Genomic DNA, 20,748 nt, shown 5'->3' on the forward strand with positions numbered 1-20,748 from the left:
GTTTCACAGGCTAGATTCAAACACCTGGCTTCAAGTGATCCTCCTGCCTTGGTCTCCCAAAGCTCTGTGATTACAAGTGTGAGCCATAACACCTAGCCCAGTCTTTTAAAAAAATACTGAACCCGCCAGGTGCGGTGGCTCACACCTGTAATCCCAGCACTTTGAGAGGCCGAGGCAGGCGGATCACCTGAGGTCAGGAGTTCAAGACCAGCCTGGCCAACAAGGTGAAACCCCATCTCTACTAAAACTACAAAAATTAGCCAGACGTGGTGGTGCACACCTGTAATCCCAGCTACTCGGGAGGCTGAGGCAGGAGAATCGCTTGAACCCTGGAGGCAGAGGTTGCAGTGAGCCAAGATCACACTGCTGCACTCCAGCCTGGGTGACAGAGCAAGACTCTGTCTCAAAAAAAAAAAAAAAAAAAAAAAAAAAAAAAAAAAAAGGTGCTGAACCAGGGTGCACAGAACCTACATTCTATCTCAACTGCTAACACTTACTGGTCACAGGACTTTGGACAGGTCATTTAATCTCTGAGACTTTGTTTACTCATGAATAACAATGAAATAATGCATGCCTAAAAGTTTTATAAAGATAAGCCATTTTACACAAATGTAATATAATAGTAATAAAGAGACGCACTGGGATGGTGTTTCTTTGTAACACTATACATGACATCAAGAATAAAAATCTTAAATGTCCCAATTAAGTGGTTTAAATCTCAAATACAAGTATACGGCCAATATGGCCCTCCCAGGGGCATTGTCATTTGCACAAAGCAGTGGTTCTATGATTAGGGTTAGGCATCGCAATCTTTTTAAATTCACAGGTGGCTGGGCCCACCCTCTGCACCAGAGATTGATCTGATTGGTCTGTAGAGGTTCCTGCAAATGTTGTGAAAAGCTTCTCCTCAAATAGCTCGGGTAAGTATCCACAATTGAGAACCAAGGTAATTAAATGCAACATAAGCATCAGAAAGGCATGGTTTGTGATTTGCTTTTTTGTTATATATTATCAAGTACATACAGTACTGGAAAAGTCTATTAGCTAAATGAATAAATGAAAAAGGCTTAACAGCATCTTTTAATTATGGGCTTTCTTTAGCTGAATGTTAACCCAAAGCTATAGTGCTCAAATACAAACTTCAGTAAAATGCTCAAATTGCAAGTGGCCAAGCCCAATCAAAATCTCAAGAGTGGAACCAAGATGGGTGCTGAGAGATCCCAGACCTACAGAGAGGCAGAGAAATTGCTAAATATCAAAGAACTGGGAGAAAAGCAGACGTAGGTAGAACTATATATTGTTGAGGTCAGAATCCATGCACTTATGGCTCAACTTCCTCAAAAGACTCACATAAAGGGGGGAATACTTCCTAATATACCTATTAATTCTGAATGAAGTCAGAAGATTTCAAATCTATTTACTACTCTTACTGCCGTGATCTTAAAAGAAAGCTTCACACAGCAGAAGTCATATTTAATGGGATTAGTCATTTTCCTCCCTTCTTTCTACAAAGTATTTTATACCTGCTTGACACACTGAGTCCAAAAACTATAACAATGTTAACTAAAACACTGGTTTCTCCTGCACACACTTACCCATTTTCACAAAATGCCATAAAACTGAAATGTCTGATTCCTTTGAAGTACAACAATGTCGAGCTCTACTGGTAATTTAAAATTTCAAATATAAATTAGCTGGGTGTGGGCCGGGCACAGTGGCTCACGCCTGTAATCCCAGCACTTTGGGAGGCTGAGGCGGGCGGATCACGAGGTCAGGAGAGCGAGACCATCCTGGCTAACACAGTGAAACCCCATCTCTACTAAAAATACAGAAAAATTAGCTGGGCATGGTGGTGGGCGCCTGTAGTCCCAGCTACTCTGCAGGTTGAGGCAGAATGGCATGAACCCGGGAGGCGGAGCTTGCAGTGAGCCGAGATTGCGCCACTGCGCTCTAGCCTGGGCGACAGAGCAAGACTCCGTCTCAAAAAAAAATAAAAATAAAATAAATAAATAAATTAGCTGGGTGTGGTGGCACATGCACTCCTGTAGTCCCAGCTACTGGGGAGGCAGGGGCACAAGAATCACTTGAACCCAGGAAGCAGAAGTTGCAGTGAGCTGAGATCACACCACTGCATTCCAGGTGACAGAAAGAGACAGAAAGAGATTGTCTCAAAAAAAAAAAATTCAAATATTAAAAATTATAAGTTTGAAACTGCTGGCCATGTGAAATACTCCTTAATTTAACATATTAAATCTGATCCTTTTGTGAGGATTCCTACTCACAAACAATGCCAGTATGGCACAGTTGAAAGCAATACAGCTAAAAATTGAAATTAGAACAAACAAAGTTTGAATTCAGCCCCCCATTTCCCCTCTAAGACTCAGTTTTCTCATCTATAAATTAATAGAGACAACAGTATCTACCTCAAAGTGTTGTTCCAAGGACTAAACAAAGAAATTCATGAAAGTACAGTTGTCTTTTTAAAAAAATACTTTATCCAATTTTCACATTTTTTCCCCATTGCCTTTTTCACAATGCCCTCACCAGCCCTCCCCACCAAGGCTTAAAAATTGCTAGACATACTATGTTTTTTCCCCTAGGAAACTTTTAAGGCTCTAATCATTAGACTCTTTGTCCAGCTGAGTTTTCTGAGATAACGCGTATGATAGCAGTGCTTATCAAACTTTAATGTGCATACAAATCATCTGGGTAGTCTTGTCAAAATGCAGATTTTGATTCATTCGCTCTCAGGTATGATCTGAGATTCTGCGTTTCTGATAAGCTCCCAGGTGATGCTAATGCTGTCGGCCCACTGACTTTGGTAGTAAGACTTCTAATGTTTACAAAGCATTTTCACATATGCTACACAGCCGTATGAATTAGACTTTGTTGAGTTTTGATTATTCTCATTTTGCAGATGAATTAAGGTCCATTTGAAACTCAAACCCCTGATTTCTATCTGCATTACATTGTACAGAAGTTTTCAAACAAAACCTATGAAAGTTAAGTAGCACTGGTTACCTAAAGTAAATGCAGTGAAACCTAGACAAACAAGTTTCACGGCCCAAATAGATGTATACTACGAATGTGTATACATCCTCCAGATCAAAAAGCAGATACTCTCTACAGAACAAACAGAAAGACCTTCCCAATATATTTTTTCTAAAAATCTTTCTTCTGTGAGGTTAAGGTGGTCATTACCCTAATCAAAGTTTAGAGTGATCTTCTCATTTCCCTGGGCACCATAAACCAGCAAGGTAGAAATCATGATCCATTTTTTGGCTGGCTAGGCTTCCACCTATTTGAAAAAGATCAGCTGGTATTCCAGAGAGCAGGGTCCTTAGATGGCAATCTCACCCATGGGCCTCAAAAATAAAATAATTACATCTGATTTTGTAACCACCCTGAACCATGGGGGGCTGTGGGGTGAGCACCTGTTCTACTCCAAGAATAAATAAAGGATACAAAAGAAAAGAAAAATAAAAGACTTGATTGATATTTTTGAGCTCTATTATTCTGAAAGCTGCTCTCCTAAAGTTTGAGATTCCTATGTGGAATACTACCAAAAATTTACAGTGAATGCTCAGAACAAAATATGGTTGCCAGATTCTTCTTGTTAGCCAGAATGTATTCTTATCACAGAAGCCAAAACCACTAAACTGAGACCATTTGTACAATCAAAATGAATTCAAGCTAGACAAAGAGCTAAACAGCTTCAATCTAGCCATAACCAGCAAAGTTCACTGAAAATGGTAAAACACTACATAGAGATTTATTTTAGTTCTAAACACCTTTACCTGAAAAGTTAAAGTCTCAATTATCTGTTGTCAGTGTGTTAAGAATAACTTCTTAGTTACTTGCTTTGAGGTCTACAATCACTATACCATCAGAGATGATGCTTTCAGCTCTCAGGATTAAAGTGAGGCTTACTGGAATTAATGTTGATACAGCTACCCCAAAAGTAAAAATACGTGGATGCCCTGACCCCATACACTACCAAGTACCACTCCTCCTTTAGAACAATTATCTACAAGAAGCAGAAATCCTATCTTCCTGGTTCTCTGAATTCAACACTTTAAATGACAGACTAGACTTTAAAAGAAAAGGCTCACTTTCCTCAAGAAGATGTATGCATACTATGACAAAAATAAAGTGATTCAGGCTTCCACAAAAAGAGCTTTGGTCAGGTGTCATCCTGACCAACAGGCAGAGCAAAGTCAGGTTAGGTATAAAATCAAGAGGATACAACCACAAAGCTGATAATCAGTTCACTGGCCGGGCGCGGTGGCTCACGCTTGTAATCCCAGCACTTTGGGAGGCTGAGGTGGGAAGATCACCTGAGGTCAGGAGTTTGAGACCAGCCTGGCCAACATGGGGAAACCGGATCTCTACTAAAAATACAAAAATTACCCGGGCATGGTGGCAGGCATCTGTAATCTCAGCTACTCAGGAGGCTAAGGCAGGAGAATCGTTTGAACCCTGGAAGTGGAGGTTGCGATGAGCCAAGATCATGCCATTGCACTCCAGTCTGGGCGACAAGAGTGAAACTCCACCTCAATAATAATAACAATAATAATCAGTTCACTGAGCCACAGGTCTCCATCCACCAGAAGACTGTATATGCCAACAAGTGGCTTGATGTCACTAGATCAGTCCTCTTGTATCACTCTATAGATGCAATCTAAGTCAAACTATGGGATAATATTCCATTACCCACAATCTTCCTTCTAAAAGAAGCTGGAACACAGATTTGGAGAATTTTCATTTATCTTCATGCATACTTCAGAATTTTCATTTATCTTTATGCATACCTCAGCAGCTCAGTAAATTATCTTGATGGTTAAAGTCCAATCTTCTGGCCCCATCTATCTAGCCTGAAGTCTTAACCTCCTCTGTCACGATTCTTTTGTAAAAGAGGTAAATCACCAGTCTCCCAAGACAAATGATACAGCTTTTGTCATCAAAATAACCGTCTAGTGAGATGACTGTTTAAAGAGAGAAAAATAAGTGGCAAAATGATTCAATCCCACCATGTATCTTCCTCCTAATTCCAACTATTTTTCTGCCTCCTACAAGCTTCACAGTAATGCAGGCACATGCCTCCTGGTTAGTGCCCAAGAATTAGAAACTGATCACACACATGACAGAGAATTCACAGCTAGAGTCACAGGTTCCAGTTCACCACACTAGCAACCTACTGATGCACAACACTAATTTCTGCTGAGGAATCTGTGCTCATAAGATGAGGAAAGAGTGAGGACAGAAAAAGAGGTGAGCTGGGGATAGGGTGAAGAAAGAGAAGTAACTCACATCCAAAGGGTAGATCTTGTTCTTCCCAAGCAGCCCCTTGGGAAGGTTCAAATAACAGGAGCCATCTCCTATCTGATTCACAAGCTACTAAACCTGACCTAGGTCTCTGCAGGGTCAAAACACTGAAAAGCAATCAGGTCAGCTTTAGAATAGCTAGTACTTAAGAACTGTACTTGACACTTGAGAAAGCTGCACCAAAAATGAACTACTGTTACTCTAACAAAATTTAATGTGGAATAGGGAAAATAGGACCAAGCCTCTGATACCCAGCAAAAGATGTATAACACTAAGAAATACTGAGCAACAAATGCTATTAAAGAAAGACAGTTATAATATTAATTCTCAATTTGTGGGAAAGAAGGTGCTTCTGCTGTTCTTTCCCACAAATTACATTAAAATCTTTTAAATGACTGTTTTCAGGTGATATCAGCCCAAAATGACTGCAGGGAGAAATGTCTTTGAAAAAGTACAAAACAAGTTTAGACAGGAGAAAGGGAGGGAAGAAGATTCATGTGCCTCTCATGGCCTTCCTGTCTGTGACCTGGAATATGACAACAGTCGCAGAATTCAAAATGAGGAAGACTCAAATGGAAATACATCTTAACACTTCTCGATCTAGAAAGTTAATGATAAAGAAAGAAATTGTTTTGAGAAAGGCTATCACAGATGCTCATAGAAAAATGCTTAAGACTTAAAAAGAAAAAGGCTATAGACACAGAGACTTATTTGACTTCAGTTTAGCATCAGAGAGGTCAGTGATAATGAATCAAAAAAATTTGTAAGAAAGAATTAACAGAATCCCTAATTTCTTGACAGGCCAGGTGTGAGAAACAAAGCCGTTCAAGGAGGGCCAAAGAGGATTCTATAATTAAATCGTAGCTAACAAAACAAGAATAGCCCTATAATCTGATCTATATTAAGGTTTCTCGGGTATTGGCAAATCACTGCTCTCAAATCTGGAATTCCCTGTTAACATCCCAGCATCAGCTTTATTTTTTTAATTCCTTCACCACCCCCCTTTTGCTTTTATTTTAAAGTAAAAATGGTGTTTTCTGATAGACCAATGAACTTTGATCCAGATTTCAGTTCTTATCTCACAATACTATCAATGTGTCCCCCCACCAAAACATTATTACTTTAGTTTTTAAAAGTTGAGTTTACATCTCCTACTATGTTTGCTGAGTTCTATTTACAACAAACGTTGTTTGAAAATACCCTGTAATTAATGCTGTGAACATCTAAGGAAACTAAACAGGCATGTTTTGCTTTAGGGGAAAAAAAGAGAGAGAGAGAGAGAGAGAGAGAGAGAGAGATAGGAACAAGTTCCTCAAGCCAACTTACAAATCCTCCTTTTCTTAGACAGGAATCGCCCGGGGATGAGCTCAACACATACTCCACCATGCTAACGCCTAGTCCCCCACTCTCCGATCGTGGGGACAGTACAGAATTGACCTCACTGTTCACATGGAAACTCTGACCAGGTCTTCTCTGCACCATGATTGGCTGGGAAACTGAATGATCTACAAAAAAGATACACAAGCATGATACAGTGCAGCCAGAGGCTCAAACAAATTATGAGTGATGTCTCATGGATAACCAATGGAATCAGGAAACTTGCCATGGTCAGTTGAGCCAAAACCTCCTATCATGTCCCTCACTGTATGATATTCAACATAAGCTAAGGAAATGGAACACACTCCTCATTTATCCAGGATAGCAGAGGAATACAACAGTTTATCTAGCTTATCTGGTTTAACTAGCTGAGTGGATAAAATTTTTACCCCTTTATAAGTAAAAGGATTTCTTTTTAATATATTTTATTAGTATTACTAAAACAAAATATGATTTTACTGCCCTTTTTAAAAACAATATAATTTGTTCTTTTCTGATAATTCACTGTCATCATGAGGTTCCATGCTTACGTTGTACTGTAATACACGACATTGGCTTTTGGGTTTTCTGTCTCCTTCCTCCCTATCATCTGTCACTTTTTCTGCTGTCAGTGTGTCTGCCTCTATAAGTTCTCCCCATCCCTCTTCAGGGGTAGTATGCCAGAAGAATGTCCATGCCCAGTGACTTGATTTGGTCCCAATCACGTTTAAAGATAGATCATTCCATACACGGTACACAAGGGCAAGGGGAGAAAAAGAAACATGAACTTCAAATGGCAGGTGTGGATTTTCTAATTCCAAGTATGCTGACAGCAGTACAGAACAAAACGTTACAGCTGAAATTATGGTCGTTTCAAATAAGACCATTCCCCTGTGGCTAGCACTTCAAAAAATATTGAAGATATGATTTTGTGTTAATTATGTTTTAATAAATTACATCATATAAGCTCCTTAATGGCAATTATACTACAGGAGAGGACACTGCTTGACATGCTTATGTCACTGATGTAAAATTCATGACTTGCCAATTGCTGAGGAAAGGAGCTCTAAGACAGGCATAAATCACAGTACAGATGCTAGATCTAGATTACCTGATGTTCCCCAGGCACTGTCTCGCCATTGATCACCCAGGAATATTCCTTTTGGTCCATCTTTGCTGGATTCATCTGTTTCCCAAAACTTTTTACCTGGCAAGAGCTGCTGCAAATTAAAAATAATAGATGCTTTTAAAGAATTCATAAAGGATGAAAGTACAGCAGTCAACACTTTCTTTTAGACAAGGGTACTGAAGATGCTCACGTGCCCTGAAGGTCTTTAATTAAAGTGTTCCAACTACACAACTGTGGTCAGAACACTGCTATATATTTGGTAAAAGTCACAGAGAGGCCTAAGGCAAGGTGGGGGGCAGGGGTGGGGACACTGATCAAACCATCCAATAGAGGCTGAACTTAAATATCTAGAATTACTCGCTTAACCCATGCCAAGATTTTTAAGGAGTGGGGAAGGGAACTAACAGTGACCCTATTAGCTAACTACTAAGTGGACTCTTACTGAAAAAGAAAGTATTTACAACTATTAAAACACTTCTCTCTATACGTGTACTAACTACCAGACAAAGTTACTCAAGCTGGAGCATGAACCAGCTATGAACCTCAGCTATGGAATGCCAGAGGCAAAATTCACTTCCTTTATACACAGAGACTCCATTAACCAAAATACTTCCCAACCACAACACTAACCTATTCCAAGATTTTGGAAGGACAGAAAAGCTATTCCTTCATTACTGGAAGGGAAATAAAATCTTCTAACCTCCATTAATTTTTTAACAATACTTGGTAATGCCATTAAAGTGACTTCACAAATCACTCCATGCTTCAGAGAAACAGGGATCGCTGGCCATAAGCCAACATGAGAAGTTTATACTAGCTTCAACAAAAAAATGCAAAGTACCCTTCAAGCAAGACACAGTACAGTTTTGCATAAGATCAAAGCACCAGTGACCAGGCTTACAAAGTAAAATTCCACAGAACTCTATCATTCTTGGTTCTGGTCATCAGCTTTACTGACTAAAATGCCCCCTCTTATTTCCTCTAATTATGTTTTCAACTGCTATTACACAGGAAACTAAGATGTTTGAGATAGTATTTAACCACCATTTTTGAGCACAAAAATACCTGGAGAGTTGAATTTCTCAGAAGAACACAATAAAAAACCAGAAAGCACAAAACATTTCCTCTCCTTGACGATAAAGGTTTAACTTTCCCATTTAACCCATAACCCAATGATAATGGAAAAATAATTAAACTCTGCTCTCACTAAAATAAATCTCTGCTTCCCAAATCTAATTTCTGGGTTTCTCGGCATAATTTTCATCTACCTTTAAGTGGCTCTATAATCTATCTCATGGACTTGGGTTACTGCCTGGACCAAAGCAGTTTGCCATACATTTTGCTCTTAAGGACCTAATTTGTTGTTTACTAATTAAACAAGATTGAGAAAAAAAAAAAACATTTGTCTGGTATTTAATTGCACAGATACCTAAGTTTCCTTGAAAATGAACAGTTATAAGTAGCAGTCTTCCTGGTGTACCACTTATTACCCTAAGGGCATTTGGGGGAGGGTGAGGATCAGGGTAAAATGGGAAAGAGCCCCGATCGAGGGTAGCATTAGGGTCGGGAAGCACTAAACTGGACAACTTTGAAGTGCCCTAGGAAATCTTACTAAACTGCCCTGAACCTCATTCTCTTTTTATTGATGAAGAAAATATCGTTCAAGTTGCTGTGATGATTAGAAATATTGTTGATGAGTGCCTAGCACAACAGGTTCTCAATAATGTATTCAAAAACATCACACCTAGGCAAAACAGCGGTCAAACCAGGTCACAGAGGGGATACTGAAAATTAATGTAAACTATGCAAAGGACAATTCAATAATTATTTTTAAACTTATTTTTCTCCTTTTAGTCTCAAAAATGTCCTGTCCCCTGCAAGGCCGGGCGCGGTGGCTCACACCTATAATCCTAGCACTTTGGGAGGCCAAGGCAGGAGCATCACAAGGTCAGGAGATCAAGACCATCCTGGCTAACACAGCGAAACCCTGTCTTTACTAAAAATACAAAAAAAAAAAAAAAATTGGCCGGGCGTGGTGGTGTGTGCCTGTAGTCCCAGCTCCTCAGGAGGCTGCGGCAGGAGACTAGCTTGAACCCAGGAGTGGGAGGGTGCGGTGAGCTAAGATCATGCCACTGAACTCCAGCCTGGGCAACAGAGCGAGACTCCATCTTCAAAAAAAAAAAAAATCCTGTCCGAAGATTACAAATAAAATTTCTTTCCTCATTGGTTATACCCTTTCTCCAATTAAAATTCTGATTTTTTTTCTCCCGTATTTTGTGCAAAGCAAAAGCAACTACTCTTTTGTATTCCAGAAGAAAGAATGTCAGCCTAAGGAGGGTCTCACTTGTTTTATGCTCCACATAACAGTGCAAAGAACGCTAAGGTGATCAAAACCATTCTTGTCCTTTAAATGTTTTAAGAGTTCATTCCTCACAGAAACTTGTAAATGTTTATTTAAAACTCAAGGAACAGGGCCCAGCATGGTGGCTCACGCCTGTAATCCCAGCACCTTGGGAGGCTGAGGCAGGTGAATCACCTGAGGTCAGGAGTTCGAGACTAGAATGGCCAACATGGCAAGATCCCCGTCTCTACTAAAAAACTCAAAAATTAGCTGCGTATGGTGGTGTACATCTATAGTCCCAGCTACTCGGGAGGCTGAGGCACAAGAATTGCTTGAACCAGGGACGCAGAGGTTGCAATGAGCCAAGATCACGCCACTGTACTCCAGCCTGGGCAAGAGAGCAAGACTCTGTCTCAAAAAAAAAAAAAAAAAAAACAAAAACAGAAACAAAAAAAAACACCTCAAGGAACAGTTTCCAAAAGTACCAGCCTCCATATGTAAATATAGTCTTATCCATAATTTGTAAAATTGCTTACAGAAAGCAGCAGCCTTTCAGCTCAAGGCTTCAAAAATCAGTTCTGGGATCCTGTCACCTTTCATGATAGTATACCAGGCTGTCATAATGTGCAAAGCCAGGAGAAGCAGGTGAACACATAAGCGAGGCTATTTTCAGGGTAAATTCTCTCAAAAGGAAACAACAATACAGCAAACATGAAGCAAAGTGCTATTAGGTTGGTGCAAAAGTGTGGTTTTTGCCACTATGGCAAAAAAAAAAGAAAGCAAAAGACTGAACCAAGGTGCTTGGGCAAAGACAGAAGCAAAATTAGCAAAGCTCTTAAAAGTCTCTGAATCTTACTCAGTCTTTCTCCCTTTCCTCCAAAACATATGCGTCTATACTCAACTGCTGTGGTTAGCAGCATCTGAAATGACTCTTAATGATCTTCACTTACAAGTACTCATACCCTGAGTAATCCCCTTCCCCTGACTGTGGGCTAGACCTATGACATGCCTCTAAGAAATAACATAAGACAAGTCATGGGATGTTCCTTTCAAGATGTTACAAAAGCTGTGATTTCCATCTTGCTTGTCCTCTTCTATCTATTGTCCTGATTGCTTACTCTGATGATGACTGCTGCTATGTTGTGAGCTGCCCTATACAGACGCCACATGAAGCCAAGAGAGAGACATCTCTGGACAACAGCTACATATACAAAGCTGTTGCTCCGCAGCTTCCCACTGAACTCTGCCTCTGCCCTGGGTCATTTACACACAATTAAGAACTGAGATCCTCCGTCCAACAACCAGCAAAGAATGGATTCTGATGGTTGATACCACATGAGTGAGTTTGGAAACAGACCTTTCTCCAAGCAAGTTTGAGACAGACCTTTCTCCAAGCAAGCTTTGAGATGAATGCAGCCAAAGTTGAAATCATGACTGCAGCTTGTGAAGGACCCTGAAGCAGATGACTCAGGAAAGTCATGCCTAGGTTCCTAACCTATAGCAACTATGAGGCTTAAACAACTGTCTTGTTTTAGGCAGGGCGTGGTGGCTTACACCTGTAATCCCAGTGCTTTCTAAGGGTGAGGCCAGGAGTCTAAGATCAGACTTAGCAACCAACATAGCGAGACTCTAGCTTTACAAAAGACTTTTTAAAAATCAGTCCGGAGTGGTGGCACACCCCTGCAGTCCCAGCTACTCAGGAGGCTGAGGTGGGAAGACTCCTTGAGCCCAGAGGTTTGAAGCTGCAGTGAGCTACGATTACACTACTGCACTCCTGCCTGGGCAACAGAGTGAGACCCTATCTCTTAAAATACACACACACACACACACACACACACACACACACACACACTGTGCTGTTTTAAGCCACTAAATTTTAGGGTGATTTGTTAAGCAGCAATAACACTGTTGTGAATATGTGGAAGTATTTTTGTATATTTGAAACACTTCTTTAGGAGTCTGTTTTCAAGAAACACTTCTTGTTCCATTTCTAATATTTAAATGTAAGTGATGAAACTAAAATCCTTTTCAATTGAAAAAAAGTAAAAGACTGGCTTTTTTAACTCGGCAAAATCAAATCAATTTAGACATGTTGAGCTTACTGAGAATTAGTAGCAATCACTTATATTCAACAGTCAGCTAAAAGATACCTAACTGTTCAAATCTGATCATATTAAAAGGAGTTAGAAACTACTGAATTATAAAACCAAATGATAATGTGTTATCCAAGTACAATTTCAAATTCAACAGTAAGCTCTCTGGAGGTAACATCATCCACAGCGTTGGGTAAAATATCCTAGTTTGCCAACCCACTGGCATAAATACCAGCAGTTGCCAAATCTTCACTTAACACACAATAACCAAAAATGTAAATGCATCCAACCTATGAAAAGATAGTTCCTATCCACCCCATCAAGAATCTGGAAATAAAGACTAGTTTTTTTGACAAGGCGAAAAGTAACAGATCACAAGAGAGATGTAGAGTTTGTTTTAAAGAATAACTTAGCAGTAAGAGGATTAAATGATGTGACAATTCCAAAAGAAGATAACAGGAATTAGGAATTGGTCCAACAAAAGCAAAAGAGACCCAAGGAATCAGATGTAGCCAGTATTATCCAGGTGACACATTTAAGGGCAGGGCATATGATGCACAAAGAAGCCTATTCTTATCAAAGCAATTAATGCATCTGGTTAGATAGTAGCTTAATTACACTGGACACTAAAAACACCCAAGTAATCTCCCTGGCTCCAACTCTGCTTACCAAGCCACCTTCTTAAAGAACTGGCTTCCTCCTATAGCCAACCATGCCAATCACCAAACACAACCATCCTTGTCCATCTAAGAGTTGTTTTTTTTCCTTAAAAAAAAAAAATCAGCAGACTGCATTTTGGTTTTCATACATTAGCCTCTTGTTGTTCTGGTTAGTGTGGGGTCAATATCGCAACCCAGTCATCTGAATTAGTAATAACAGTCCATTTCAAGATCTACAAACTGAGAACCATGACTTGGGGAGTCCTATCATCCCCAGCAATAAAATAAATAGACCTTGTACTCTTTCTTGTAATGAAACATTAAGTGGAATTCCTAACTGCCCCACCAATAGTGTGTGCTCTCAAATCTCTGGGAGAAACACACACACGTACACTGTTTATCCCACCCTGAATCGTAAGTTTATAAAATAAAAAAACTTATGAAAAGTAAAAAAAAAAAAAAAAAAAAAATTCAGTAAGCTTATCTATGAGGCTTCTGGAAAACAAAATAGAAGTCAAGCACTGGTTTACAAGCAATGTCAGCCACTTGAGACACTTCTTTTAAATTTGTCTGGAAACACCTTTTTTCCTTTCCATCTAACAAAAAAGAACAATACGCAAAACCACACTTAACACTTAACAATCAATCATGTCATAAACCCCTACACCAAGAACCCTTAAAACATGGATTAAGACAATAAAAAGTGGAGAATATCAAGAAACTCTAAGCTTCTTATTTTAAGAACAGTGATAAAGACCCATGAATGCTCTGAAATCACTTTATTTTAAACTAGTTTTAAATCCCAGCTGTGTGAATTTTATCCTCTTCTGCTTTTTCTCACCTATAAAATGACCTATTGTGTACAATGAAAGAGATAACACATGTAATGACATAATACAATGCTGAAACAGTAAACAAAAAATCAGCTACTATCCTTCTTTAAAAGAGCAAAGTAGCAGCCAATAGACATCACAATACTAATGATTTGTCAATGAAATGCTCCTATGTCAAACTATCAGACACAGTGATCATGGCATCACCTAGGCCATGTCAGTACAAACCTCATTACATTAACTACCCCAACAAAACAACACTACAAGAACCATGATTACGGCTTTTCAGGAACTGCAGAGGCAAGACAATTATTGCCTGGACTTGTTTGACCATACCGCCACTAATATTTGAATAGGGATTTATCAATGAGGTTTACTGATGATCTCAACAGTAAAAGGGCTCTCCAGCAACTACTCTGTACTCAAAAGGAATAAAATATTAGGTAACTGCTTACACACTCAATACAGGCTGCACAGAGCATCTCTCAGAGCAGAAATTGAGCATCTTAAGAAATACTACTAACATGGATGTTACAACCCTGCAGACGTGATCAGTTTGATCATGTTATTATCTAGCATCTCTAACTTACAACACAAGCTTAGTTTCACTGGAATGCAGCCAATGCAGGAAACAAATGCTTGATATTTAACTAGCTGGTAAGACAGACCAACAACCAAAACAATTATTAATCTCTTAGTATATATCTCACCACACTCTCAGTACATTAAGAGAAGATGACATCAACTCAGAGAAAGGACCTTTCAGAACTAACTGAAATGAGGAAGTTTGATTGGTAACCACTGATAATCACAGGTGGTAGTCTTACTTGTAAAAATTTTGTATTTTTCACAACTTATGTAGTCTCTCCATACCACAGACTGTTGTTGTGAAATCAAGTGAGATAGTATATGAAGTGCTTTTATAAATACTAAGAACTATACTGATATTAAGTTATACTAAAGCTTTATTTAAAGCTTTAACTTATTAAAACATATCTTTAAGAAAAGCCAAGTTCATTCATTCCTGGTTAGCGTAATTCTTTTGGAAGGGCCTCAGAAACTACATACGTATCAAAAGTCACAGCCAGGTATGATGGCTGATTCCTGCAATCCCAGCACTTTGGGAGGTGAGGCAGGAGGATAGCTTGAGTCTAGGAGTTAAAGACCAGCCTGGAAAACATGTGACAGCCCATCTCTACAAAAACTTAAAAAAGCCAAGTGTGGTAGCACATGCCTGTGGTCCTAGCTATTCAGGAGGCTGACCTAGGTGGGAGGATCACCTGAGCCCAGGAGGTCAAGGCTGCAGTGAGCCATGATTGTGCCACTGCACTCTAGCCTGGGCAACAGAGCAAGATCCAGTCTCCAAAAAAAAAAAAAAAAAAAAAATCTACATTCAAAGTGCTTGTAAAAATAAAAAAAAGTCGAGGCTGGATGCAGTGGCTCATGCTTGTAACCCCAGCACTTTAGGAGGCTGAGGTGGGAGGGTCACTTGAGGAGTTCAAGACCAGCCTGAGCAACATGCCAAGACCCAATCTCTATTTTTAAACATTAAAATTAAAAAAAAAAGAATTAAAAAAGTTGAAAGTAGGCCTGTAATCTCAGCACTTTGGGAGGCTGAGGCGGGCGGATTGCTTGCGGTCAGGAGTTCAAGACCAGCCTGGACAACATGGTGAAAACCTGTCTCTACTAAAAATACAAAAATCAGCCAGGCGTAGTGGCCAGGCGCCTATAATCCCAGCTACTCGGGAGGCTGAGGTAGCAGAATCACTTGAACCCAGGAGGCGGAGGTTACAGTGAGCCAAGATCGCACCACTGCACTCCAGCCTGGGCGACAGAGCAAGACTGTGTCTCAGAAAAAAAAAAAAAAGTTGAAAGCAAACTGCAAACTAAGTATTCAACAATAAATTAGCTGTGGGCCTGGTGCAGTGGCCCACACCTATAATCCCAGCATATTGGTAGGCAGAAGGATCACTTGAGGCCAGGAATTCAAGACTAGCCTGTGCAACATAGTGAGACCCTGTCTCTTTAAATAAATAAATAAGCAAGCAAACAAGTTGTAGTACAACAATGTAAGCTCACCAAAAATAGCCATAATGACTACATGTAATATTTATAAAATAACATTAAATTTTAAAAGTAAAATACAAAATTGTACATGTAAAGACTGCTTCTCCTCATGCATTCTTCCCTTTTGGATCAAGACTGGAAAGAAAAATAAAAGCAGAAGAGTGTTTGTTAGTGCACTGGGATTGTGGATTACTTAATTCAAAATATACTTTTGTTATGATTTTCAACTAATTCTCTAATAAATAAAACTGAGATTATGGTGGTCTGAAATTCACTGCAAATAAATAAGGCATATCTCTCAAGCAGATACATTTCACTTCAACATAATTTCATTTTCTTTTTCTTTTTTTTTTTTGAGACGGAGTCTCGCTCTGTTGCCCAGGCTGGAGTGCAGTGGCATGATCTCGGCTCACTGCAAGCTCCACCTCCTGGGTTCACGCCATTCTCCTGCCTCAGCTTCCCGAGTAGCTGGGAATACAGGCACCTGCCACCACGCCTGACTAATTTTTTATATTTTTAGTAGAGACGGGGTTTCACCATGTTACTCAGGATGGTCTTGATCTCCTGATCTCGTGATCTGCCCACCTCGGCCTCCCAAAGTGCTGGGATTACAGACGTGAGCCATCACGCCCAGCCACTTCAATGTAATTTATTTATTTTTCTTTTTTTTTCTTTTTTTTTTTTTTGAGATGGAGTTTCTCTATTGTTGCCCAGGCTGGAGTGCAATGATGCGATCTCAGCTCACCGCAACCTCCGCCTCCTGGGTTCAAGCATTTCTCCTGCCTCAGCCTCCGGAGTAGCTGGGATTACAGGCATGCGCCACCATACCTGGCTAATTTTGTATTTTTAGTAGAGATGGGGTTTCTCCATGTTGGTCAGGCTGGTCTTGAACTCCTGACCTCAGGTGATCCACCCGCCTCGGCCTCCCAACGTGCTGGGATTACAGGCATAAGCCACTGCGCCTGGCCACTTCAATACAATTTCAAAAGGGCAAAAGTTAATAGCAATTTTAAGAAGAGAGCTCATGTCCTAAATTTCAAATATTTTTAAGCAAGCTGATACAGGCTTAGCATCCTTAATCCAAAAAAATGCAAAATTTGAAATGCTCTAAAATCCAAAACTTTTTGATTGCCAATGTGACAGTCAAAGGAAATGCTCACTGGATCATTTCAGATTTCACGTTTCCAGATTGGGCTGTTCAGCTAGTAATTATTATGCAAATATTCCAAACATCAAAAAATTCCAAAACATTTCTGGCCCCAAGTATTCTGGGTAAGAGATACCCAACCTGTAATAAACTTCCAACTCATTTTGAAAATTGTTGCTTAAATAAGGAATGTTAAAAATGTTGAGTGTTCCATCACAAGCCAGTTTTTTTAATTAAAAATAAGTATATAAAGCAAAGAATTTTTAAGTTTTCACCTTCTCTTTCAGTGAAGGAATAAGATCTTCCAAATTCTCGTTTTGCATTTATATATATGTATATATTCATGGTATTAAAAATAATCTACATATAAGCAGAGTGAAGTGCATCCACTTTAATCAGTTACTCAATACTTACATGTAAAGATGTTAAATGTTAAAATTTGTGTTCTCATTAATTTAATTCAAATCACCAAAAAAACTGTCTAAGAATCAACATCTCCAATAATTTTCTTCATATTTCTCTACTAGGTATCATCACAATCTGGCATGCAGTAATTACTGCTTAAAATTTTTACCCTGTTGTTTCAAATGGTTACTACTGAAAACAGATTACCATAGACATGGTGGTGTCTTAACAAAATGCCTCTTTTGGCTGAAATCTAATATACTGCTTTTAAAAAAAGCAAACTTTAATCTGTTGCATAATTATAATTATGCAGTATATAAATTAACAGATTTTTTAAAGGTTTTCCCAGGTTATTAAGCACCTTTTATAAGCACTGTTGATACCTGTATCTAATGCCTTTAAATAACACTTCCTCCACTAAGGATGAAATCAAGGAGATCGCAGAGTATAGGACAAGATGAGGTAATCTGATCTTCTCTCCCACAACTGGGAAATCAACACTGCTTTTCTGACTATTGAAAAAATAAATTTCAGTATTTGAAGTACTTGCTGATGCCCAAAAGTACTACTTGCACACACCCTAAAATGCACAGCCTGCATTAGCCACTATTGGAAAAAACAAAAAAAGCAGTAAAAGACATTCTTTGCCCTGAAGGAACTTAAAAGATTAAAAAGAAAAACCAGAGTCAAACGGACACGTAATTTTAAGATAAGCACACTGCCTAATAATGGAGTATAGACTGCTAAAATTCACAACCTACTACAGATGAAGAAAGGAAGAGTAACCAACCACACCAATGAAGAAATGAACCTGGGATAGGATGGTCAAGAAGTATCTTAAAGAAGGGGACAGAATTTAGAGCAAGCTTGTCCAACCCGCAGCCCAGAACTGCTTTGAATGTGGCCCAATACAAATTCATACACTTGCTTAAAACATTATGAGATTTTATTTTGCGATTTTTTTCTTCTTTTTTTTTTTTAGTTCATCAGCTATCACTAGTGATAGTGTATTTTATGTGTGGCCCAAGATCACATTCTTCCAATGTGGTCCAGGGAAGCCAAAAGACTGGACAACCCTGATTTAGAGTGAGTGAGACAGTGCAAAGGACCTTCTACAATGAACCAAGGTAGGCAGAAATGAAAGCAAGTGGAGCAGGTGCCCACCTGGAAACTGGCCATCAACACAGGGTAGCAATAAGAAGAGGGTGAAAAATCACTAATGTCAGCTGTCAGTGAGACTACAAAAAGCACCCCTAGGGCTCTAATCCAATAGGCAACAGTAGTAACATTATAAAATTTATCTTTAAAAGATTGATCTGACAGTCCTCCATAAAATGGGGTGAAGGAAAGCAAATGAATATTGGGAGTCTAAGCAAAGAGGCCAATGTAGTAATCCAGATGTGAAATGGTAAGAAAAGGAACTGTGGAAGTAGGGGCAAGGACAAAATTGCTGCTGAGAGACTCTTTTCAAAGCAAGTGTTTTTGTTTTTGTTTTTTTAAGCTATATAATTTTACCAGGCGCGGTGGCTCATGCCTGAATTACCAGCACTTTGGGAGGCCGAGGTGGTGGATCACCTAAAGTCAGGAGTTCAAGACCAGCCTGGCCAACATGGTAAACTCTCATCTCTGCTAAAATACAAAAATTAGCTGGGTGTAGTGGCACATGCCTGTAATTCCAGCTACTTGGGAGGCTGAGGCAGGAGAATCATCTGAGCCTGGGAGGTGGAGGTTGCAGTGAGCCGAGATCTCGCCACTGCACTCAAGCCTGGATGACAGAGAGAGACTCCATCTCAAAAAAATAAAAATGAAAAAAATTAAAGGCTGGCGAGGCGTGGTGGCTCACGCCTCTAATCCCAGCACTTTGGGAGGCCGATGGATCACCTGAGGTCAGGAGTTCGAGACCCAGCCTAACCAATGTGGTGAAACCCCGTCTCTACTAAAAATACAAAAAATTAGCCAGGTGTCATGGCATGCACCCGTAGTCCCTGCTACTTGGGAGGCTGAGACAGGAGAATTGCTTGAACCTAGGAGGCGGAGGTTGCAGTGAGCCAAGATCATGGCACCGTAATCCAGCCTGGGTGACAGAGCAAGGCTCCATCTCAAAAATTTTAAATAAAGTAAAACAAAATAAAAGCTATAAATTTCAGAAGAGTCATTGCCCATTATGATGATCAAGAATGAATTCACTAAGTATACATAAGCCAGTCTATCATTGGAGTTCTTTTAATTAGGAATCTATTCTGCAGAGACAGCTGAGTGCAAAAGCTAAATGAAAACAGAATCCATTAAGTCTCCTGTGGGGTACATGAAGAAAAAGAAAATTCAAAAATAAAAAATAAAAACACAAACAGATCCAAATGTGTGCATATAGTATCAAAAGTTTAAGTTTTATGCATTCAAAGGGTATTGAGGCTGCCCTGAAGATCCTCTATAGGCTGCTGGGCGACAGTAAGAGCAAAAAGAGCAATCAAGTTGAGATAAGAATTTGGTAGCTTTTAAATTTTAGGACAACCAGGTCGGGTGTGGTGGCTCATGCCTGTAATCCTAGCTCTTTGGGAGGCTGAGGCGAGCGAATCGCTTGAGCCCAGATTTTCAAGACCAACCTGGCCAATATGGTGAAACCCCGCCTCCATTAGAAGTACAAAATTAGCCAGGTGTGGTGGCAGGCACCTGTGATCCCAGTTACTTGGGAGGCTGAGGCACGAGAATCACTTAAACCCAGGAGATGGAGGTTGCAGTGAGCCAACATAGTGCCGCTGCGCTCCAGCCTGGGCAACAGGGCAAGACTCTGTTTCAAAAACATAAATAAATAAACAAATTTTAGGACAACCACAAATTAGATATTAGATAGAATTGCAAACTTGATGACTACCATTAAACTTCAAAACGCACAGGGGTTTCCTGTTTTCTGCACACACCAAAGAATACAACCCTGTCTGTCAACGACTTCATCCTAGAAACCAAGCACATCAAAAGATATCATTCATACTTTCATAAAGCAAGTCCATTAAAGAACATTCAGAAATACTGTTAGCACCTTACACTCCATGTTATTTTGTCATGAATTAACCTGAACAGGCTCCCATACACGTGCCCTTCTGAATCTGAAAGTAAAGGTTTCTTTATACCTTCACATTTTGTTAATGGAACAGAGCCAAGAAACTTCTCTTCTCTACTGTCTTCATAAAACCTGACAGACTGACAGTAAAGTATGTTGATAAAATGATGAAATTCCCAGAGTGAATCGGGCTTTTCTGCATGATACAGGAACAGCATATAAGGGATGTTATGTTATCTACAGGTTACCTATAAATAAGGTCACGTGTTTTTACATATGAATAAACTACACAAGGTTTTTTTTTTTTAGATTCAGAGAGCAAATGTGCAGGTTTG

At 39.5% G+C, this 20,748-nt stretch overlaps 1 protein-coding gene across 2 annotated transcripts in view, besides 1 other annotated feature; it reads right to left on the minus strand.

Moving 5' to 3' along the window:
• Positions 1–20,748, minus strand: part of PUM1 (pumilio RNA binding family member 1) — a 134,212-nt gene that overhangs the window by 67,696 nt on the left and 45,768 nt on the right. For both annotated transcript variants that reach the window (NM_014676.3, NM_001020658.2), the window contains exons 4-5: positions 7,793–7,901; positions 6,652–6,830 (exon numbers count right to left, since the gene is read on the minus strand). In NM_014676.3, coding sequence (NP_055491.1) covers positions 6,652–6,830; positions 7,793–7,901 — 288 coding nt within the window. The remainder of the gene's footprint in view (positions 1–6,651; positions 6,831–7,792; positions 7,902–20,748) is intronic.
• Positions 10,768–10,897: an enhancer, noted in NCBI's record as "active region_637". NCBI's record gives its function as "activates an Ori minimal core promoter by ATAC-STARR-seq in GM12878 lymphoblastoid cells {active_cell/tissue: GM12878}" and the evidence as "EXISTENCE:reporter gene assay evidence [ECO:0000049][PMID:35858748]".

Source organism: Homo sapiens, chromosome 1 (assembly GCF_000001405.40).
Source record: "Homo sapiens chromosome 1, GRCh38.p14 Primary Assembly".
Taxonomy (NCBI): Eukaryota; Metazoa; Chordata; class Mammalia; order Primates; family Hominidae; genus Homo; species Homo sapiens.